Source organism: Homo sapiens, chromosome X (genome assembly GCF_000001405.40).
Source record: "Homo sapiens chromosome X, GRCh38.p14 Primary Assembly".
NCBI lineage: Eukaryota > Metazoa > Chordata > Mammalia > Primates > Hominidae > Homo > Homo sapiens.
This window is the reverse complement of record NC_000023.11, coordinates 135979259-135998583: the sequence shown is the minus strand read 5'-3', so window position 1 is coordinate 135998583 and position 19325 is coordinate 135979259. Positions and strand designations below refer to the sequence as shown.

At 43.5% G+C, this 19325-nt stretch overlaps 1 protein-coding gene across 11 annotated transcripts in view, besides 2 other annotated features; it reads right to left on the bottom strand.

Moving 5' to 3' along the window:
* The window catches only part of SLC9A6 (solute carrier family 9 member A6), a 73433-nt gene that overhangs the window by 48686 nt on the left and 5422 nt on the right, over positions 1-19325 (bottom strand). For 2 of the 11 annotated variants that reach the window (NM_001379110.1, NM_001177651.2), the window contains exons 1-5: positions 13107-13149; positions 12757-12981; positions 3599-3798; positions 399-476; positions 26-102 (exon numbers count right to left, since the gene is read on the bottom strand). In NM_001379110.1, coding sequence (NP_001366039.1) covers positions 26-102; positions 399-476; positions 3599-3798; positions 12757-12925 — 524 coding nt within the window. In that variant the 5' untranslated portion in view covers positions 12926-12981; positions 13107-13149. Of the gene's footprint in view, positions 1-25; positions 103-398; positions 477-3598; positions 3799-12756; positions 13150-14794; positions 14865-19325 lie in introns of those variants that run through there. The other 9 variants (NM_001438742.1, NM_001042537.2, NM_001400911.1 and 6 more) reach the window with 8 other exon arrangements.
* Positions 12749-12868: an enhancer, noted in NCBI's record as "active region_29988". NCBI's record gives its function as "activates an Ori minimal core promoter by ATAC-STARR-seq in GM12878 lymphoblastoid cells {active_cell/tissue: GM12878}" and the evidence as "EXISTENCE:reporter gene assay evidence [ECO:0000049][PMID:35858748]".
* Positions 13019-13258: a silencer, noted in NCBI's record as "silent region_21025". NCBI's record gives its function as "represses an Ori minimal core promoter by ATAC-STARR-seq in GM12878 lymphoblastoid cells {active_cell/tissue: GM12878}" and the evidence as "EXISTENCE:reporter gene assay evidence [ECO:0000049][PMID:35858748]".

The following is a 19325-nucleotide window of genomic DNA, read 5'->3' as shown; positions in this document are numbered from 1 at the left end:
AGTATTTTAAGCTTAAAATACTTACCCAATAACGAAACAAGAAATTGCTGTTCCAAGAAAAGCGTATGCTAGGATAGACCCAAGATTTCGAAAAAAATGTCTCTGACAAAAAAAAAAAAGTTACACTGTTAGAATACTTACCAGTTACTTGAAAAAGAAAAGGTTTTCTATGCTATGCTAATATGAAATGCATTATTCACTAGGATTAAATGCATTATTCACTAGGATAAATAAGAGAAAGCATTCTTGTACAGGTATAAATTTCAGCATCTAAAAAGGATAAGGAGAGGAGAAAGGAGGGTAATCTGGAAAGAACAGCCCATTTCTGAAGTGTCAAATATTACAAAGCCCACTGAGTTTAAGATTATTCAAAGTATATGAAAGACAAAAGGACTTACCCTTTTCAGGCTATAACCTGCATAAAATATGATAGGAGGAAGTAATATGTTGAAAAATACTTCTGGATCAAAAGTAACCTGTTAAAATAAAGAGTTATTTTAGATCAATTCCCTAGAAGACCTCATATTCCATTATCAAATGATCAAAAAGAAAAAATACTATATGTTAAACTAGTCAAAGGCAAGAACATTACTGTGCTAACTTAAAAATATTTCATATAGGATAGTTTCTATTCTACTTCTCAACCAAACGACCAGGAGATAGCATTGGAACAATCAGTTAAGGCCTATCTGTGGAAAGTGTATTAAAATACTATGTCATTAAAAAATGTTTCAGGAGGCTGAGGCAGGAGAATTGCTTGAACCTGGGAGGCAGAGGCTGCAGTGAGCTGAGACTGCACCACTGCACTCCAGCCTGGGTGACAGAGCAAGACTCCATCTAAACAAACCAAGAAAAAAGTTAAAAATAGGGCCAGGCGCAGTGGCTCACACCTGTAATCCCAGCACTTTGGGAGGCGGAGGTGGGCGGATGGGCGGATCACCTGAAGCCAAGAGTTCAAGGCCAGCCTAGCCAACATGGTGAAGCCCCAACTCTACTAAAAATACAAAAATTAGCCGGGTGTGGTGGCGTGTGCCTGTAATCCCAGCTACTCAGGAGGCTGAGGCAGGAGAGTCGCTTGAACTCGGGAGGCAGAGATTGCAGTGAGCCAAGATCGCGCCAGTGCACTCCAGCCTGGGCGAAAGAGTGAGACTTTGTCTCAAAAAAAAAAAAAAAAAAAAAAAAAAAGAGAAAGCATGAACATTACTTTCGCTTTAAATAAAAGAAGCCTGGCTGGGTGCTGTGGCCCACGCCTGTAATCCCAGCACTTTGGGAGGCCGAGGCAGGTGGATCACTTGAGGTCAGGAGTTTGAGACCTGCCTGACCGACATGGCAAAACCCCATCTCTTTTAAAAATACAAAATTAGCCAGGTATGGTGGTGCATGCCTGTAATCCCCGCTACTTGGGAGGCTGAGACAGGAGAATTACTTGAACCTGGGAGGCGGAGGAGCCGAGATTGTGCCACTGCACTCCAGCTTGGGCAACAAGAGCAAAACTCCATCCCAAAAATAAATGAATGAGGCCAGGCGTGGTGGCTCAAGCCTGTAATCCCAGCACTTTGGGAGGCCAAGGCGGGCGGATCACAAAGTCAGGAGATCGAGACCATCCTGGCTAACACGGTGAAACCCCGTCTCTATTAAAAATACAAAAAATTAGCCGGGCGTGGTGGCGGGCGCCTGTAGTCCCAGCTACTCGGGAGGCTGAGGCAGGAGAACGGCGTGAACCCAGGAGGCAGAGCTTGCAATGAGCCGAGATCACGCCACTGCACTCCAGCCTGGGCGACAGAGCGAGACTCTGTCTCAAACAAACAAACAAACAAACAAAAAAAAACAAAAACAACAACAACAAAAAATAAATGAATGAATGAAACCCCAAACTGGTAATATAAAACTTAAGAGTACAGTATTATTGTTGGCAAAAAGAAACAGATTTCTTACATAGATAACATCTCTAAAGTTGTATAATATTGTAGTAAAAAGTTTCTGTACAGCTCAGATTTCTACTTCCGATAGCCCACTCATTTTAAGACCTAGTCACCATAAAAATGTAAATACCCCCTTCTGTTCATAAGGCTGCAGTAGAATGTGACATGAACACAAAGTAGCTACACACAAACCCATGCTAAAACTTCGTTAACTAGAACTTTTAAGGAATTGGAATTTTCCACAGGTGGAAAGAACTCCTGCTGCAAGGTAAACCTCAAGTTCATATGAAATTTTAAAAGCATTAAAGATGGTCAGAAACACAACCAAGTAGCTATAAAAATCAAGTCCTGCCTGTACTCCTAGCACTCTGGGAGGCTGAGGTGGGTGGTTCGCCTGAGTCCAGGAGTTTGAGACAAGCCTAGACAACATGGTGAAACCCCAACTCTACTAAAAATACAAAAATTAGCCGGGTATGGTGGCACGTGCCTGTAGTCTGAGCTACTAAGGAGGCTGAGGTTGGAGAGTCACCTGAGCCTGGGAGGCGGGGGTTGCAGAGAGCTGAGATCGTGCCACTACACTCCAGCCTGGGTGACAGAGTAAAACCCTGTGTCAAAAAAAAAAAAAAAAAAAAAAAAAAGTCAAGTCCTGCCAATGTAGCAGACAGAAGTGAAGGCAAACAGCAAAGGTAGGAGAAAACAAAGAGACATGAGCAAAGTGGCATTGAGCCGTTTATCATGAGAAACGTCATGATAAACCTATGAGGGAGACAGGAGAAAGCAGCTCCAGGGATTTCTGGGAGCCAGTACAATTGCAACTCAAACTCTAACATAAAGCTTTATGCACAATATGGTACAATAACTCAGACTCACACTTAGGGCCCCTGAAGTTGTGTCAGATTGTGAATCAAAGAAAGATTAAATTGTGATCGGTATAGAATACAAGCAAGGCAAGAAAGAATTGAAAGAAATATTAATAGAATATTTTAGGTATTATCAAATAAAGCCAATGTGCTGAAGTACTATAAAACTATAAGGACCGGCTGGGCGCAGTGGCTCATGCCTGTAATCCCAGCACTTTGGGAGGCCGAGGCGGGGGATTCACTTGAGGTCAGGAGTTGGAGACCAGCCTGGCCAACATGGTAGAACCCCGTCTCTACTAAAAAATACAAAAATCAGCCGGGTGTGGTGGTGGATGCCTGTAATCCCAGCTACACGGGAGGCTGAGGCAGGAGAATTGCTTGAACCCAGGAGACAGAGGCTGCAGTGAGCCAAGATCATGCCACTGCACTCTACCTGGGTGACAGAGTGAGACTCCATCTCAGAAAAAATAAAATAAAGAAAGAAAAAGAAAAAGAAAACTATAAGGACCATCTGCAAATGGAAAGAAACGCTTATAAATTCTGCTTAACTCAATCCCAGTCTCCATTTATCACAACAAGCTGTAAACAATCCAGAGAGAAACAAAAAGAGTTATACTACTTAACCTCAATCAGAAAATGAGTTGTACAGACATATCCATTTCCTTACATTATTACATTTGTTAATTGAGGTTTTACTCCATTGAAAAAGACTCATTATTTTAAATATCATTAAAAATCCATTACTTATTTTCTCCTGGATCATTTTGCTGCTAGTTAGACACAAAAAAGATTCAAAGATTTCCTTTAAGAACTTACCTTTCTAAGCATTTCATTATCTTGAACATTATTGAGTTCATGTGAACTAATCTCTCCTTTCAGCATATACTCATAAAATTTTCCACTAACATTTACCAGTAAGGTAGTTGGACTTGACTGCACTTCACAGCTCAGGGTCACATTATTTACATCACTCGGAACATGAATGCCATACCGAAGCACAAGGCCCACCAAAAGACCTGGAAAAAAGAACAACATAAGCTCTTCTTGCCGACAGAGACCACTTCTTTTGTACCCCACGCATAACTATGGATAAGAGAAAATCTCTTACGGTAGTTCCCTGTAGCTCAGAACTGATTTTTAGATGAAATGCAGTTATGTTTTAAAATATTACTAAATTCATACAACAAACAGCCCAATCTTCATATAATCCAGTGAAACAGGAGAGAAAAACATTCCCTAGGACAACAGCACAGATCACTGCATTTCTAGATCAATATTTAAATAAGTAATGAGGAAGGTAACAAAAGGAGAAAATATCTTCAAATCATCTGTAGACAGAATATGCTCCAATGTGTCCCAACTCGACAGTGCAATCGTGTTAGAAATGTGTTTTCTGGCCAGGCGCGGTGGCTCATGCCTGTAATCTTAGCACTTTGGGAGGCCGAGATGGGTGGATTGCCTGAGAGCTCAGAAGTTCGAGACCAGCCTGGGAAACTTGGTGAAACCCCAACTCTACTAAGATACAAAAAATCAGCCGGGCGTGGTGGCGGGCGCCTGTAATCCCAGCTACTCAGGAGGCTGAGGTGTGAGAATTGCTTTAACCCAGGAGGCAGAGGTTGCAGTGAGCCGAGATCATGCCACTTCACTCCAGCCTGGGCAACAAAGTGAAACCCTGTCTCAAAAAAAAAAAAAAAGAAATTTGTTTTTCACCTCCATTCATCAATTTATAAGACTTAAACAATGCACTTCGCAAGTTTATTCCCAAAGCACATGACTGGCCAAACAATGCACATTTAACAAATTGAAAAGTCAATAATATTTGTAGGTTGATTGAGTTCTTCTACTTCTAAAAGATCAGATTTTAATTTTAAAAATCTGCTTCAAAATCAAAACATGGAATAGAAGTCCTGAATCTGGCACTATGACATCAAACAGATTGCTGGATCATCCTACTGACATTCAAATATGCACAATGTTCTAGGTACTGTAAAACTAAATTTTTTTTTTTTCTGAGACGAAATTTTGCTCTGTTGCCCAGGCTGGAGTGCAGTGGCATGATCTCGGCTCACTGCAACCTCCGCCTCCCGGGTCCAATCAATTATCCTGCCTCAGCCTCCCAAGTAGCTGGGATTATAGGCTCACACCAACACACCTGGCTAATTTTTGTATTTTTAGTAGAGATGGGGTTTCACCATGTTGGCCAGGCTCCTGACCAAGGTCGAACTCCTGACCTTGTAATCCATCCACCTCGGCCTCCCAAACTGCTGGGATTACAGACCTGAGCCACCATGCCCAGCCCTATAAAACTATATTGATCGACTATAATTGTTTAGTAATGGCTTTACTGATATCTAATTCAAACACCAAAAGTTTATCCTTTTAAAAACTGTACAATTCAGTGGTCTTTAGTGTATTCACAAAGTTGAACATCAATCACCACTATCTAATTCTAGAACATTTTCCTTCCCTCCAAAAAGAACCCCACACCTACTAGCAGTCACTCTCCATTCCCCCATGCCCGAATCCACAGCCCCTGGCAACCACTCATCTACTTTCTTTCTTTATGGACCTGTCTTTTCTAGACATTTCATATAAATGAACTCCTACAATATATGGCCTTTTGTGTCTGACTTCTTTCACTTAGCATATTTTCAAGGTTTATCTATGTTGTAGCATGCATCAGAACCTCATTTACTTTTACGACCAAACGATATTTCATTGTATGGACATACCTCAACTACAAATAAAACCCAAACTTCTGGAACTTTCCTTAACTCCATGCATAGTATACCACTACTAGCTGCATTTTACCTTCCTATTGCCTTTCATTCTGACTAGCCAGCCATTCTTTTAATACGTGAATGAGTGTACTATGCTAGGTAGGCCTCCAGGGTTCAGAGATGAAAACAAGGTCCCTCCTTCAAGGAAAACTCGGTCCAGTTGGTGAAAACAGACTGAATAAACAATCATAATGTCAAGGAAAACTCGGTCCAGTTGGTGAAAACAGACTGAATAAACAATCATAATGCTATATATATATATGTATACAAGGTATTATAAAAACAGAAAAGAGACAACTATGCAACCCTGGGGGAGTAAGACATTAGGGAAGTCTTTCCAGAGATGTCACCTGGGCAGGTAACAAACTAGAAGAAATGGGTATATTCCACGTAGGGGAATAGTAGTACATATCAGTCAAGGATGGAGACAACACAGCCCATCCAGTGAATCAAGTAGTTTAGTATGGCTGGCTTATAAAGTGACAAGAGTTGAGGTTTGAAAGATTGGCAGGAGTTGAATCATAAAAGATCTTATCTGTTGGGGAAGGGAATTTGAAGTTTATCCCAAAAGTAAAATGAAGTCATAGAAGGCAGAGGCTTGATAGCAGATTTCTACTTTAGAAAGACTGGTCTAGACTAAAGAGGGTCTAAAAGGCTAGATACAGGGCTACTGTAGGCATTCAGGCAATAAGAGTTTAGGTCCTAACCTAAGAGAGTACTGACAGGAGGCGAGAAGGATTTTTTGAAGGTATTATATTTTAGGAAGATTTAGTGACTGAGGAAGGGAGATGAAAGACTAAGAGGAACCTTAATTGATTTGGTAACCAGGTGGGTAAGTTGGCCTGAGCACCGAGGGGGATAACAAGGACATTCAATGAGGTAAGGAACATACACAGATGAACAGATTTACAGGGGAAAAGGCTACATTCAGTTTTGGACACGTTGAGTTGGATGTACTTGTGACACACGCATAGTTGAGTATGTGGTATCTGGAGCTAAAGCGAGGGGTCTCAACTGGAGATATACACTGTGCAGTCATAAGATGGTTGAAGTCAGATGTAGATGAGATCGCCAGGGGAGCAAGTAAAATGGGAAGAAGACTATGATATAGATCTGGGGTTTGATCTATTAACAGCCAACATTAAGGGGCTGCTAGAGGAGAAGGAGCTGATGAAGGAGTCTGAGAAGGAAAACCCACAGGAGTAGAAAAAAAAAGGAACCAGTGGTGGCAAAGTCAGGAAGAAAGGGAAAAAATTCATTTTTGAGGAGAAGGAAGTGATAAAAACTATCAAATGCTATAGTAAAGTCGAGTAAGGCAGGCATTAGAAGTATCCATTGGGTTTGGCAACAAGGAGGCCATAGGTGACCTTGATAAGAGCAGTTTCAGTGGAGTAGCAGGAGTGGAAACCAGACCCAAGTGAGAAGTGATGAAGCAGAAATGAGGAGGTATAAGAGCAGTCGTTGCCAGCCGGGCGCAGTGGCTCACGTGTAATCCTAGCACTTTGGGAGGCCGAGGCGGGTGGATCACTTGAGGTCAAGAGTTCGAGACCAGCCTGGCCAACATAGTGAAACCTCATCTCTACTAAAAATACAAAAATTAGCCGGGCGTGGTGGCAGGCACCTGTAATCCCAGCTACTTGGGAGGCTGAGGCAGGAAAGTTGCTTGAACCCAGGAGGTGGAGGTTGCAGTGAGTTGAGATCATGCCACCGCACTCCAGCCAGGACAATGGAGCAAAAACTCTGTCCAAAAAAAAAAAAAGGCAGTAGTTGCCCAGGAAGCAGGGAGGGAGCAGAGAGGAGGGATCCTTCTGGTCAATTTATAGTCACATATATTTTTTAGAGTAGTAATGATTCATTCGTGAACAGTAGTATAATGACACCAACTTTAAAAACGTTTAAACAAAGGTTCGAATTTAAAATAAATGAAAGACACCTTTTAAAAATATCTCACCTCCAAAAACAAAATTAAAAACTGACTGTTAGATAGCAACTGCACTTGACAGACATAACCTAGAAGAGAAAAGCCTGTAGATCCAGTCGTTCTGCCTGTATGAGACAGAAACAGCTCTTTTCTCTACTATTCCACAAGAGCTAATTAAGAGGCTCAGTAAAAGCTGTCCTCTTATATTTACATGCAAAAATCACAGACAAGCTACTACAAATGCTAATAATGGCAGCATAAATTCCTTCCATGTCCCCAAGCCCAACCATGGTTCTTTTTTTTTATTTTATTTATTTATTTATTTTTGAGACGGAGTCCTACTCTGTTGCTGAGGTTGGAGTGCAGTGGCGTGATCTCGGCTCACTGCAACCTCCGCCTCCCGAGTGCCCACTGGTTCTACTGTTTGCCCAACCCTATGCTGAAGCATCACTGGGTACCCTGAGGAGAGCTCAGCACTTGGGCAAATTTGAAACACATACCTTGGTCGATAAAACAACAGCATGGAGAATAATTATTTAGGTTGAAAACAAAATCAAGATCCCTTTATTATGGCACCAGGCATCTGAAAAATTGGTATTTGAAAAAAATTCACAGATCAAGTTAACGAGGGTTCTGTAAAAGGCCAAATCCTAGTCATAGAGTCAAAGCAATTCTCAGTGAAAGGATACAAAAACAGAGCTTTGTTAAGAGACTAAAGCAGAAACTTCTAGCCTCCTACATAGAGGGAGGCACAGAAAATATTTATATTATGAAACTTTAAATGACCACTAACAGGCAACAAAGAACACAACCATGGCTGGGTGCTGTGGCTCATGCCTGTAATCCCAGCACTTTGGGAGGCCGAGGTGGGTGGATCACAAGGTCAGGAGATCGAGACCATCCTGGCTAACACAGTGAAACCCCATCTCTACTAAAATTACAAAAAATTTAGCCAGGCGTGGTGGCGGTCACCTGTAATCCCAGCTACTCGGGAGGCTGAGGCAGAAGAATGGCATGAACCCAGGAGGCGGAGCTTGCAGTGAGCCGAGATAGCGCCACTGCACTCCAGCCTGGGAGACAGAGCGAGACTCCGTCTCAAAACAAAAACAAAAACAAAAAAAACACAACCACAAAGAGATATCTTTCACAAAACAGAGAGGTCCTAACGCGTCTCAAAACAAAAACAAAAACAAAAAAAACACAACCACAAAGAGATATCTTTCACAAAACAGAGAGGTCCTAACCCTCCTACACATTCCTGACCCTCCTGTGCTGAAAAGTCTCCCAGTGATAAAAAAAATCAGCATCACCCAAGGCCCTACTAATGTGTGATTCTCCCAGTTGGCAGTGACTGGTTTCCTCATGGATTTCAGCCCATTATTCCAGCCAATCACACCTGAAGCCTCTGATAGTCAAAAATATAGGAAGAACATCACTAGGGCATTAAGTGTGACCAAAACTGATACAATTTCTACAGATTAGTTTTGTGAAAGATATGATGAGAAATAAGGTATGAGCCATAGTCATTAGATGATAAGTGCTTTGAGGGCAGATACTGTGGCTCAAACATGTATTTCTCATCATATCCCATACATCATAGACATCTAATCAATATTTATTGATGAATCACATTGGTTAAACCTCGGACTCCAGATGCCTTAAGCTTAAGGCAATACAAATATTTCTGCCATATTTTGCTTTTTATACCATCTGTAAGCACAGTGTAGTGCGTGATCACTTTTCAGACTTAATTTAACTACCTCGACAACTTTTACTAACAGTGACTCACTTTTAAGCTTCTTAAGAAAGCTAACCCAAGGAGCAAAACATGTGGGTACTTTGCAATTGTGTGTTTGTAACTGGAGCAATTGATCTATATTACAATCTAGAAACTGACCACTTTGGCAATTTAAACTGTTTTTACTCCTGCTTCTCAGATAAAGGAAAAGCTTATTTTTAATAGCATTTTCCAGGATTTACGTAGCTAACCCAATATCACAGGAATAAGATCACCAGTGGGCTGAATCTTAGAGGTCTAGGCATCCCATTTTGACCCCAGAGTCATGCTGAAAAATAAAGGTTTTAAAATAATATATTAATAATAATAAGATAGCTATGATGTTGTGAGAGCTATAAGAAAAATAACAGACAATAAATAGGACTAGAAAACTTCCATTTCTGACCAGGCGAGGTGGCTCACACTTATAATCCCAGCACTTTGGGAGGCCAAGGTGAAAGGATAGCTTGAGCCCAAGAGCTAAGAGCTTGAGACCAGCCTGGGCAACATGGGAAGACCCCCCCACACTCGCGTCACCACAAAAATAAAAATAAAAAATTAGCCAGGTGTGGTGATGCACACCTGTAGTCACAGTAACTCAGAAGGATGAGGTGGGAGGATCACTTAAGCCCAGGAGGTTGAGGCTGCAGTGAGCTATGACCCCACCACTGCACTCCAGCCTAGGCGACAGAGCAACACTCTATCAAAAATAAAAAAAGGAAAAAGAAAACTTCAATTTTCATGCTATTGAAAATACTTTGACCCTCCACAAAAAAAGAAAGAAAGAAAGAGAGAGAAAGAAAGAGAGAGAAAGAAAGAAAGAAAAGAAAGAAAGAAAGAAAGAAAGAAAAGAAAGAAAGAAAGAAAAGAGAGAGAAAGAAAGAAAGAAAGAAAAGAAAGAGAGAGAAAGAAAGAAACTTTGACCCAATCCCATCTATTCTCGAACTGGACTTGCGAGTTAAGTTAGGAGGCTGTTTGGTCCACAGCACCCATTGCCCACAATGAGAAAATAGGACAGGCTAAAGAACGCCAAGTCAACTCCAGATTTGACTCCCAGACTAACACTCTTGCACTTTACATTCCACAAGAGATACCCTTGTTTTTCCTTCAAAAAATACTAACACCAAGGTGCTCTATCACTTTTTATTAACTTAGAAACCTCACAAAATGCAATCGGTAATCCTTTTCTACTTCAGTCCTAGAGTTAGATGAGGTTAATGATACCAGCTACCAAAGAGAAAATATTTCCAGGGCAATTCAAAGCCCCTATTTGATTCTCTTAAAAAGACTGTATTTGTCCCTTGACTTATGAGACTGACCAATTAAAAGAGTTGTTCTGGGCCTAATCTGAGAAAATGCAGTTGTAACAGCAATAATAATAATAATAGCACAGCTATCATTTCTTGGGCATTTACTTAAGGGTCAGTTACTAGTCTAAAAACATTTCTTCCTCACAGTAATCCTACTATCATCATCCCTAACATATAGATGATGGTAAAAGAGAGTAAGGGACTTGTCTAAGATCACACATACCTATGGGCAGAGTGTGACGGGAATCTAGGTCTGATTCTAAAGCAGGGGTTGGCAAACTACAGCCCTTGGTCTGTTTTTGTATGGCCCGAGAGCTAAGAATAGTTTTTATGTTGTAAAACTTTATAAAAAGAAAAAAAAATCAAAGAAAAAAAATGCAACAGCGACAGAGATCTACGTATCCACAAGATCAACAATCATTACTACCTGGCCCTTTACAGAAAAAAAAAAAAATTGCTGACCTCTGGTCTAAAGCCTTGTACCTTTAATTACCACATCATACTATCTCTCTCTATAAAAGAAGTATCTCTGATCAGTTCATTACTTTATAATACTCATTTGGCATTTAACCAAATTTAAGATGCCATTATTTTCTTTATATGACCTGCCTATAAGTGACTTGAAGGCAAAGATCTTATACCTCTTTGTATTTTCTGAGCATAATACATAGAAGGTTTATCAACAAATGTTTGTTGAGGATAGTAAATAAATCACACACTGTTATGCAGAAAATTATATAGAAATATATAGCTTATCTGGCCAATTTGGCTTAAGGTGCACTGCAAATGAAATGCAAAACATATTAAATATAAAAACCATCTAATATGTCTAAAAACTAGGAATCTTAGTGAGCAGAGATATTTTACACGCAGGCTCAGAACTGTATTCTCTTAAAAATGAAAAATAAGCCTGAGTTCATGCATCTTCCTGAGGCACACAACTACCTTTCCTTGCTATCCTTGAGAGATGCACATTACAGAAGTCTGGATTTACTAGGGGGCGGGGGTTTGCATGGAGCAATGTCTTTTGTGCCAAAGCTTCATCTACCTATCTGCAAGTCTGAGAGACAAACCTCAACAAGCTCATCGGTTTAACTGCTCCAAATGAAGATAATCTTCACACATGTACTGCACAGAAAGAATTGTTTGTCCGCCCTCATCTCTTTAGCAATACCCGCACAGATTAATACAGTCGGCAATATGTATCTTTTCTCCTCTTGAGGCCCCAGCACAGCTCAAAATGCCTCTGAGCCCACACTTTGATTTACCCCTTCTCGCCTTGTCACCAAAATAATAATAATAATAATAATAATAAACCTCAGAAAGCAGACTGAGACACAAGAATCGAAGCCATTTATTCTACAATCGGTCAATAACCTCATGCCAACAGCAAGTCACCCATACTGCATATGCATGGTGTTTGTAATTACTGTTTGTCTGAACTGTCCTGATCATCGTATAGTACACTATACTTCTGGAAGGACCTTAACTCTTCCTCGTCCTCACTTTTGTATGCCTGAATTGGAAGGGTCAACCACAGGTATCCATATCAGATATTAGAGGCATAGTACAATAAATGGGATGTCATTAAAAATGCCCTAAGCCTTCTGTAGCCTATTTCACGTTCGGGTTTTTTTTTTCGGACTCCACAAGAATAAGATTTTCCTTTGCAACCTCGAAAGGACAGGGCGTAGCAGGAGCTAGGTGTTGAGTAAAGGTCGACTCTGGCTCCAAAAGAACGCCAGATTCTGGGCAGTAGAGATACTACTGCAGTTTCAATGAACCTTAAACAAACTGACACCCCAGAGAAATGGATCGCAATGGTGTCTCCCCTCCCCCAGCCCCCAGCCCAATTCCAGACACCGCGCCCACTCGTTTTCCATCCTCAGCCCCGGGTCCCGAGCTTGGTAGGCAGGGAAAGGGTGGGGGGCTGGGGGTGCGGAGGAAAAAGGGGGTGGGGTCGGAAGCGAAAAAGGTGTGGAGAGGCAGATAAAATGGGGCGCGAGGCTGAAGAGGAAAGGGGGTGAGGCAGAGAAACGCGGGGTAGGGGGAAGGCGAGGCAGAAAATGGAAGGAATTAGAAGGGGAGCCGAACGTAGGCCGAGCAGGGCCAGCAGAGGAGGCGAAGCAGCCGGCGGGCAGAGAAAGGGGCAGCGCCAAGGGGCTGACAAGGGTTGAGGAACTTGCCATAAATCATAGCCAGGCCGGTTTCGTGCAGGAAGCGGGCCCGGCGGTGCTTGAAGAGCCAGATTGTGAGAATGGTGAGGGTGAGCAGCAGGATGAAGATGAGCAGGTTGGCGCTGTCCTGCCGGTGGCTCTCCTCGGCTTGCTTCTCGGACACGATCTCCTCGTCCATGGCTCTAGCCTCTCCGCCGCCGCCGTCCGAAGCCCCTGCCCAGTCAAAGACGCCCACTGCGAGGAGCAACCAAAGGGGCCGCATGAGCCTGCGGGCTCGGGGACTGCTGCCGACGCCACGGCGGAGGGGTGCCCGCCGCCAGCCGCGCCGAGCCATGTCTCCCCCCGCCTCCCGCCCCTACCTCACCGGCGGCCGCCCGCGGTCGGACCACTCCCCGAGGGCTCACGGGAAAGGGGCGGGGCCCGGGGGTAGCCGTCGGAGCGCGCGCCGCCGCCGCCGCTCTTAAAGGGGCCGCGGCATCCCAAGCTCGCTCTGCCAGGTTCCTTTGCCCCTCTGTCCCAGGTCACACGCACCCACAGGCGCTGCCGGGAATGAAAGGCCGTCTAAACTAGCCCACTGCCTTTGGCTAAAGAAACATCGGCTCAGTGTAACCAAGCAGAGGCAGACTGCGCTTTCTACTTTGATCCTATTCTCAGAGCTCTCAGGGGAATTGATCTTTCATAGGAATTGATCTTTCATAACCCATCTCAATATCGTCCCCCAGTGTCTCTTAACAGGATAAGTTGTCCCCTTGGGAGGAGCCTCAATCTCCATCTCTGTAATTTAAATTTAAATCGGATTCTCCTTGTATTGTCCTCATCGGGAAAGAAAAAAAAAAAAACACAAAAAAACACCACACACACACAGAGCACTGTAGCAGTTCATAAAACAATCGACTCAAAGGTATGGATTATGTGTGTGTCTGTGTAGTCGGTTTTCTTTACATGTAAACATCTGATATAAGTCATCTCTCACGCTAGGAATCTGTACACAGAAACTCATCAACCTTACAGCAAAGATTGGATCGGTTTGTGCTTAGATTTCCCAATGCTCGTAAACACTTCCCTCCCGAAGAAAAAATCTTGGGTGGTGTGGTGGATTTCTCCTTCTCCTCTTGCTCCTTTTTACTGCTGTTTTAAAGCAAATGTCCCCAGCTCCGAAGTCACCCTTGACCCCTATCTCTCATCTCTCCTCTTTAGTATTCCTCAGGACAGTATTTTTTTTCTGTTCTCAGCCTGTCCAACCTCTCTCACCAGAATTTTCACAGTTCTCACCTCCATACTGGAGCTTTGTCTTTTGAGAACAGTGACTTCCTATTTTTTCTGTATTTCTCCGATCGCTCCTTAGTTTGTGTGGGCTCTTTGTTTTCTCAAGACTTTGATTTCAACATGAATGATCTACAAGTCTCAAGCCCTGGCCTGCTGCCCCAACTTCAGGCCTCTACCTGTTGGATTCTGAGCATACCCTGTTGAGGCTCCTACCACCCTCAAAACTAAAAATATTTTGAAATGAGCTCATTTGAAATGAGTTCCCCCTGCAAGTACAAATTCCTTCTCAAATTCTTCATACCATCAGTGGTACCACTGTCAGTTCAATTCCTATCATTCTGCCTGGAACTCATGATTCTCAAATGGTTCTTTCCATCTCATGGCCATATAACCTCCTTGCTAAAACAAGTAATACTCAGGCAACTCCAAGCTGCCCCTGTGTGTATTCACCCTCACTAACCAGCTCTCTAAGCTCTCAGGATGATGAGCTAAACAAAAAAAGCACTCAAACGATGTCCAATTCCACTTTCTGTCCCTGTCAGGTCAGGAACTGTCCCAAATCAGAGCCAGTGACTGTGTGCCCATTCTCTGCTATTAGTACTTGGGTCTGTGTCTTCCCAAGAAACCTCATGGCTGCCTGTTCCCCTATACCCTGACTCCACTTGAACCACACTGTCCTGTTCACACAGAGCTGGGCTTTGTGGAAGCAAGAAACCTAGGTGAGGATCCTTCCCATTCTCCCCATCATCCTCTCCCCAGAAGACCTAGTAAATGAGCTTACCTGCTAACTGCTCATTCCAAGGCTGTTTTGTCCCAGCATAAACCCACTTTTCACTGAGTGTTGGGAACTTGAAAAAAAAAAAAAAAAACCCGAAGCCACAGATTGCTTCCCTGACCAGAGTCAGGAAATGTCTTCAAGCACCAGACTCCACCTCTGTTTATGTGGCCCCAGCAACTTAGTATGCCCCTCAGCAATCTCTTTGTACTCGAGTTCTAGGAGGAATCTTGAAATGGTAGTAACTTCTACCAGGCAGCCAATCCCCCTGAGGCTTCTGCTCCCCCGAGAATGTACTTCTCTCTCCATCCAGCACTGCTCTATACTTCTGACGCCTACACCCGGGTTTCTCCTCTTGCTACTTCCCTCCCTTTCCATGTTAGTCGGTGTGCTCCTTGGAACGTTCTTCCTTGTAAACATACTACTCAACCCTCTCAGTCACTGCATGGATGGCCCCTCCATCTCCTCTCATTACCAGAACCCATGTCTCTCCCAGGATATCACACGCTCTGACGCTATTGCAAGTGGAGGTTGTTCATGTTCATTTGGTCACAGCCCCACTGTCCTGCACACATATACACACGTATACACAACTCACACCCTGCATCAGGTGGCCTGAAGGAGTTGGCACTGTGCTCACTCCCATTGTTTCACATTGTTTCAAACTCATTACCCCTCCACCCTCCATTGAAGCTCTAACACCTTCTCCTTCCCCATGGTCCTCACTTATTGACTTCCTGGTCACTCCTACACATTTGCTGAGTACTAGGGAATCTGTTTCACAGGCTTCCTCTCTCCTCTCACCCCACTCCCCAGGCCTGACATCATCCTGAGTGACTTCACTGCTCATATAGACAACTCACCAGGAATCCAGCCTTGCTTCTTTTGTCACTGAGAAAGTCAAGGCATTCTGGGAAAATCCTACCCTGCTATCTACTTAAATATCCCATCAGTGCCCATCCTTTCTTTCTCCCCCCAGCCACAGTGGAAGAAGTGTTTCCTTCTCCCTTAAGAAGCTAATTGGCCAGGCATGGTGGCTTACGCCTTTGATCTCAGCAATTTGGGAGGCCAAGGCGGGAGAATCACTTGAGCCCAGGAGTTCAAGACCAGCCTGGGCAACATAGTGAAACCCTGTCTCTACAAAATTAACAGAAATTAGCCGGGCATGGTGGCGCGTGCCTGTAGCACCAGCTACTGAGGAGGCTGAGGAAGGAAAAGGGCTTGAGTCCAGGAGATGGAGGTTGCAGTGAGCTGATATTGGGCCAGACTGGGTGACAGAGTGAGACTTTGTCTCAAAAAAAAAAAAAAAGCGAATTGACCAAACTGTACTCTGCATGTCATCACTTCCTTTCCTCTTCTTCCAGGATCTACTCCAACAATCACCGCCCCCCCCAACCCCCGCCCTCCACCTCCACCATCTTCAGTGGCTCCTTCTCTATCATCTCTTTCTGCTCTCCATGAACATTTTCAGGTCTCCTCTGAGAAACACCTTTTCATCCACACCCCTCCAGCTACTGTACTATCTCTCCTTTCCTCTTCATAGATAAGCTTCTCAAAGGAATTGTCTGCATTCTCTGCACTCCCATCCAGGGAGTGCAGGGATAGTCCAGGGATTATCAAAAATCAGACTACAGTCTGAGGGCCAAATCCAGCCTGCTATCTGTTTTTGTATGTCTTGAAACTAAGAATGTTTTTCACGTTTTAAGGGCTGAGAAAAAAAGAATTAAAGAATATTTTGTGACATGTGAAAGTGATATGAAATTCAAATTTCTGTGTCCATCAATAATGGTTTATTGGACATGGCCATGTCCATTCCTTTACTTATTGTCTATGGCTGCTTTAGCACTACAAGGGCAGAGTTGAGCAGTTGCAAAAGAGACTGTGGATTGCAAAGTTTACATATATACTATCTGGCCCTTTGCCAGAAAGATATGCTGACCTCTTCTTTAGTCTCTGCCAATCATTCCTCTACACTTTCATAAGGGGGTGTTTCTGGAACACAAATCCTCTAATGCCCCCTGCCTTGCTTTTGGCTCTGGCTCCTTAGCCTGGCACCCAATGCTCCACACACCCTGCCTCCAGACTGTCTCTTCACCCTTATATCCTGTGCTTATTTCCCAAATATATTTTGCTTCAGCCATTCTGAACTTCTAGTTCCTTGAATGCTTCATGTGGTTTCCTGCCGTCTATGTGCCTTTCCATGTGTTCCTTCTACTTGGATAGTCCTCAACTTTTTCCTCACCTAACTAACTTCTACTTGTCTGACGAAACTCAGATTAAAGATCACCAAATTTTCCAGGATGCCCTCAGGCTGAGTTAGGAGCCTGATATGGTTTGGCTCTGTCTCCCCATCCAAATCTCATGTCAAATTGTCATCCCCACCTGTTGGGGGAGGGACCTGGTGGGAGGTGATTGGATCATGGGGACAGTTTCCCCCATGCTGTTCTTGTGATAGTGAGTGCGTTCTCAGGATATCTGAGGGTTTAAAAGTGTGTGGCGTTTCCCCCTCGCTTTTTGTTTCCTGCTGCCATAAGAAGACACTCCTTGCTTCCTCTTTGCCTTCCACCATGATCGCAAGTTTCCTGAGATCCTCCTCCCCAAGTCATGCTTCCTGTACAGCCTGCAGAACTGTGAGTCAATTAAACCTCTTTTCTTCATAAATTACCCAGTCTTCAGGTAGTTCGTTATAGCAGTGTGAGAACAGACTAATACAGGGCCCCTCTTCAGAAAGGGCTCTATGGCCCCCTGGGAAGATCTCTATCCTAGTAGCTCCCATGATGTACTGTCATGTTTGATTGACAAGTTTGTCATTCAACAGGTCATGAGCATCTTGAAGGCAGGAACTAGGCATTTATTTCCTTACTGACAGCATCTAGCATAAGGCCTAACCAAAACAGGAACTTAATAAAACATATCTGTGCATCAATAAATGTCTCTTAGGCCAAGCATGGTGGCTCACACGTATAATCCTAGCACTTTAGAAGGCTGAGGCAGGAGCATTGCTTAAGGCCAGGAGTTTGTGACCAGCCTGGGCAACATAGTGAGAACTCATCTCTACAAAAATTTAAAAAATTAGCCAGGTATGGAGGTGTGCACCTGTGGTCCCACCTACTTGGGAGGCTGAGGTGGGAGGATTGCTTGAGCCCAGAAGTTCGAGGTTACAGTGACCTATGATCATGCCACTGCACTCCAGCCTAGACAACAGAGTGAGACCACGACTCTAAAAATAATAAATAAATATCTCTTAAATTTAATGAAGTGTCAAAGAAATCTTCATATCTGCAGATAACATTAAATTTCTCCAGGTAGAGAGATTCAATTCAAGGATAAGCTGAAAAGAGAGCTTCACTCAGTGTAATACTAGATGACTGAACAGCATAGATAAGTTTAGTCAACACAGTCATTGATTCGTTGGAGGTGCCTGATAAACACTGAATTAAATAATTCATGTATTGGTAGGAGGCTGAGGCAGGAGAATCACTTGAACCTGGGAGGCCGAAGTTGCAGTGAGCCGAGATTGCACCACTGCACTGCAGCCTGAGCAACAGAGTGAGACTCCGTCTTAAAAAAAAAAAAAAATCATGTATTGGGGGACAGGCTGAAAAACTAGGTTGAAGTCATATTGTGGAAGTCCTCTATGCCACAGAAAATTTTAACTCATTCATTTTCCTGGTCAAAAACCTCCCCAATATTAATTTGGCAACAGAAAAGGGGGTGAATGAAATGTGGAGGCCGAGTGCAGTGGCTCACGCCTGTAATCCCAGCATTTTGGGAGGCTGAGGTGGGCAGATCACTTGAGGTCAGGAGTTCAAGACCAGCCTGGGCAACATGGTGAAACCCTATATCTACTAAAAATACAAAAATTAGCTGGGCGTGGTGGTGTGCGCCTGTAATTCCAGCTACTCGGGAGGCTGAGGTGGGAGAATCGCTTGGACCTGGGAGGTGGAGGCTGCAGTGAGCTGAGATCGTGCCACTGCACTCCAGCCTGAGCAACAGAGCAAGACTCCATTTCAAGAAAAGAAAAGAAATGTGGAAAGGTAAGTACTAGGGAGGCCAGTTAGGAGGTTATAAAGGTCATCTTGCTGAAGAGTAGTGAGGCCTTAACTTAGCAGGTGCAGTAGGAATGCATATGGAAAGTTAGATGCAAAGAGCCAATGCAGAGGTAGGATTAACCTGTCTTGGAATTGATTGGGTGGGTGAGTGGGAGTGCCTGAGGAAGAAGAACTGAGAGATGACTCCAAAGGTTTGAACCTGGATAACTGAAAAACAGAGGGCTGTCAGTAGCATTAATGTGGGAGTCAGAAAGTAGAGCTCAACTATGGACAGGTTGGATTTAAGGGACTGGTAGGATATCCAAGAACGGATGTCAACATAGGCACTTAGGAACTTGGCTCTGCAGTTCAGGAGTAAAGACTGGACCAGTGATGGATTTTTGAGCTATATGCATAATATTGACGCTGTGGGAGCGCCAAAGAAGAGAAGGTATAAAGAGACTTGGACTTAAGGCAGCAGTATAGAAAATGCCTATATTCATGTG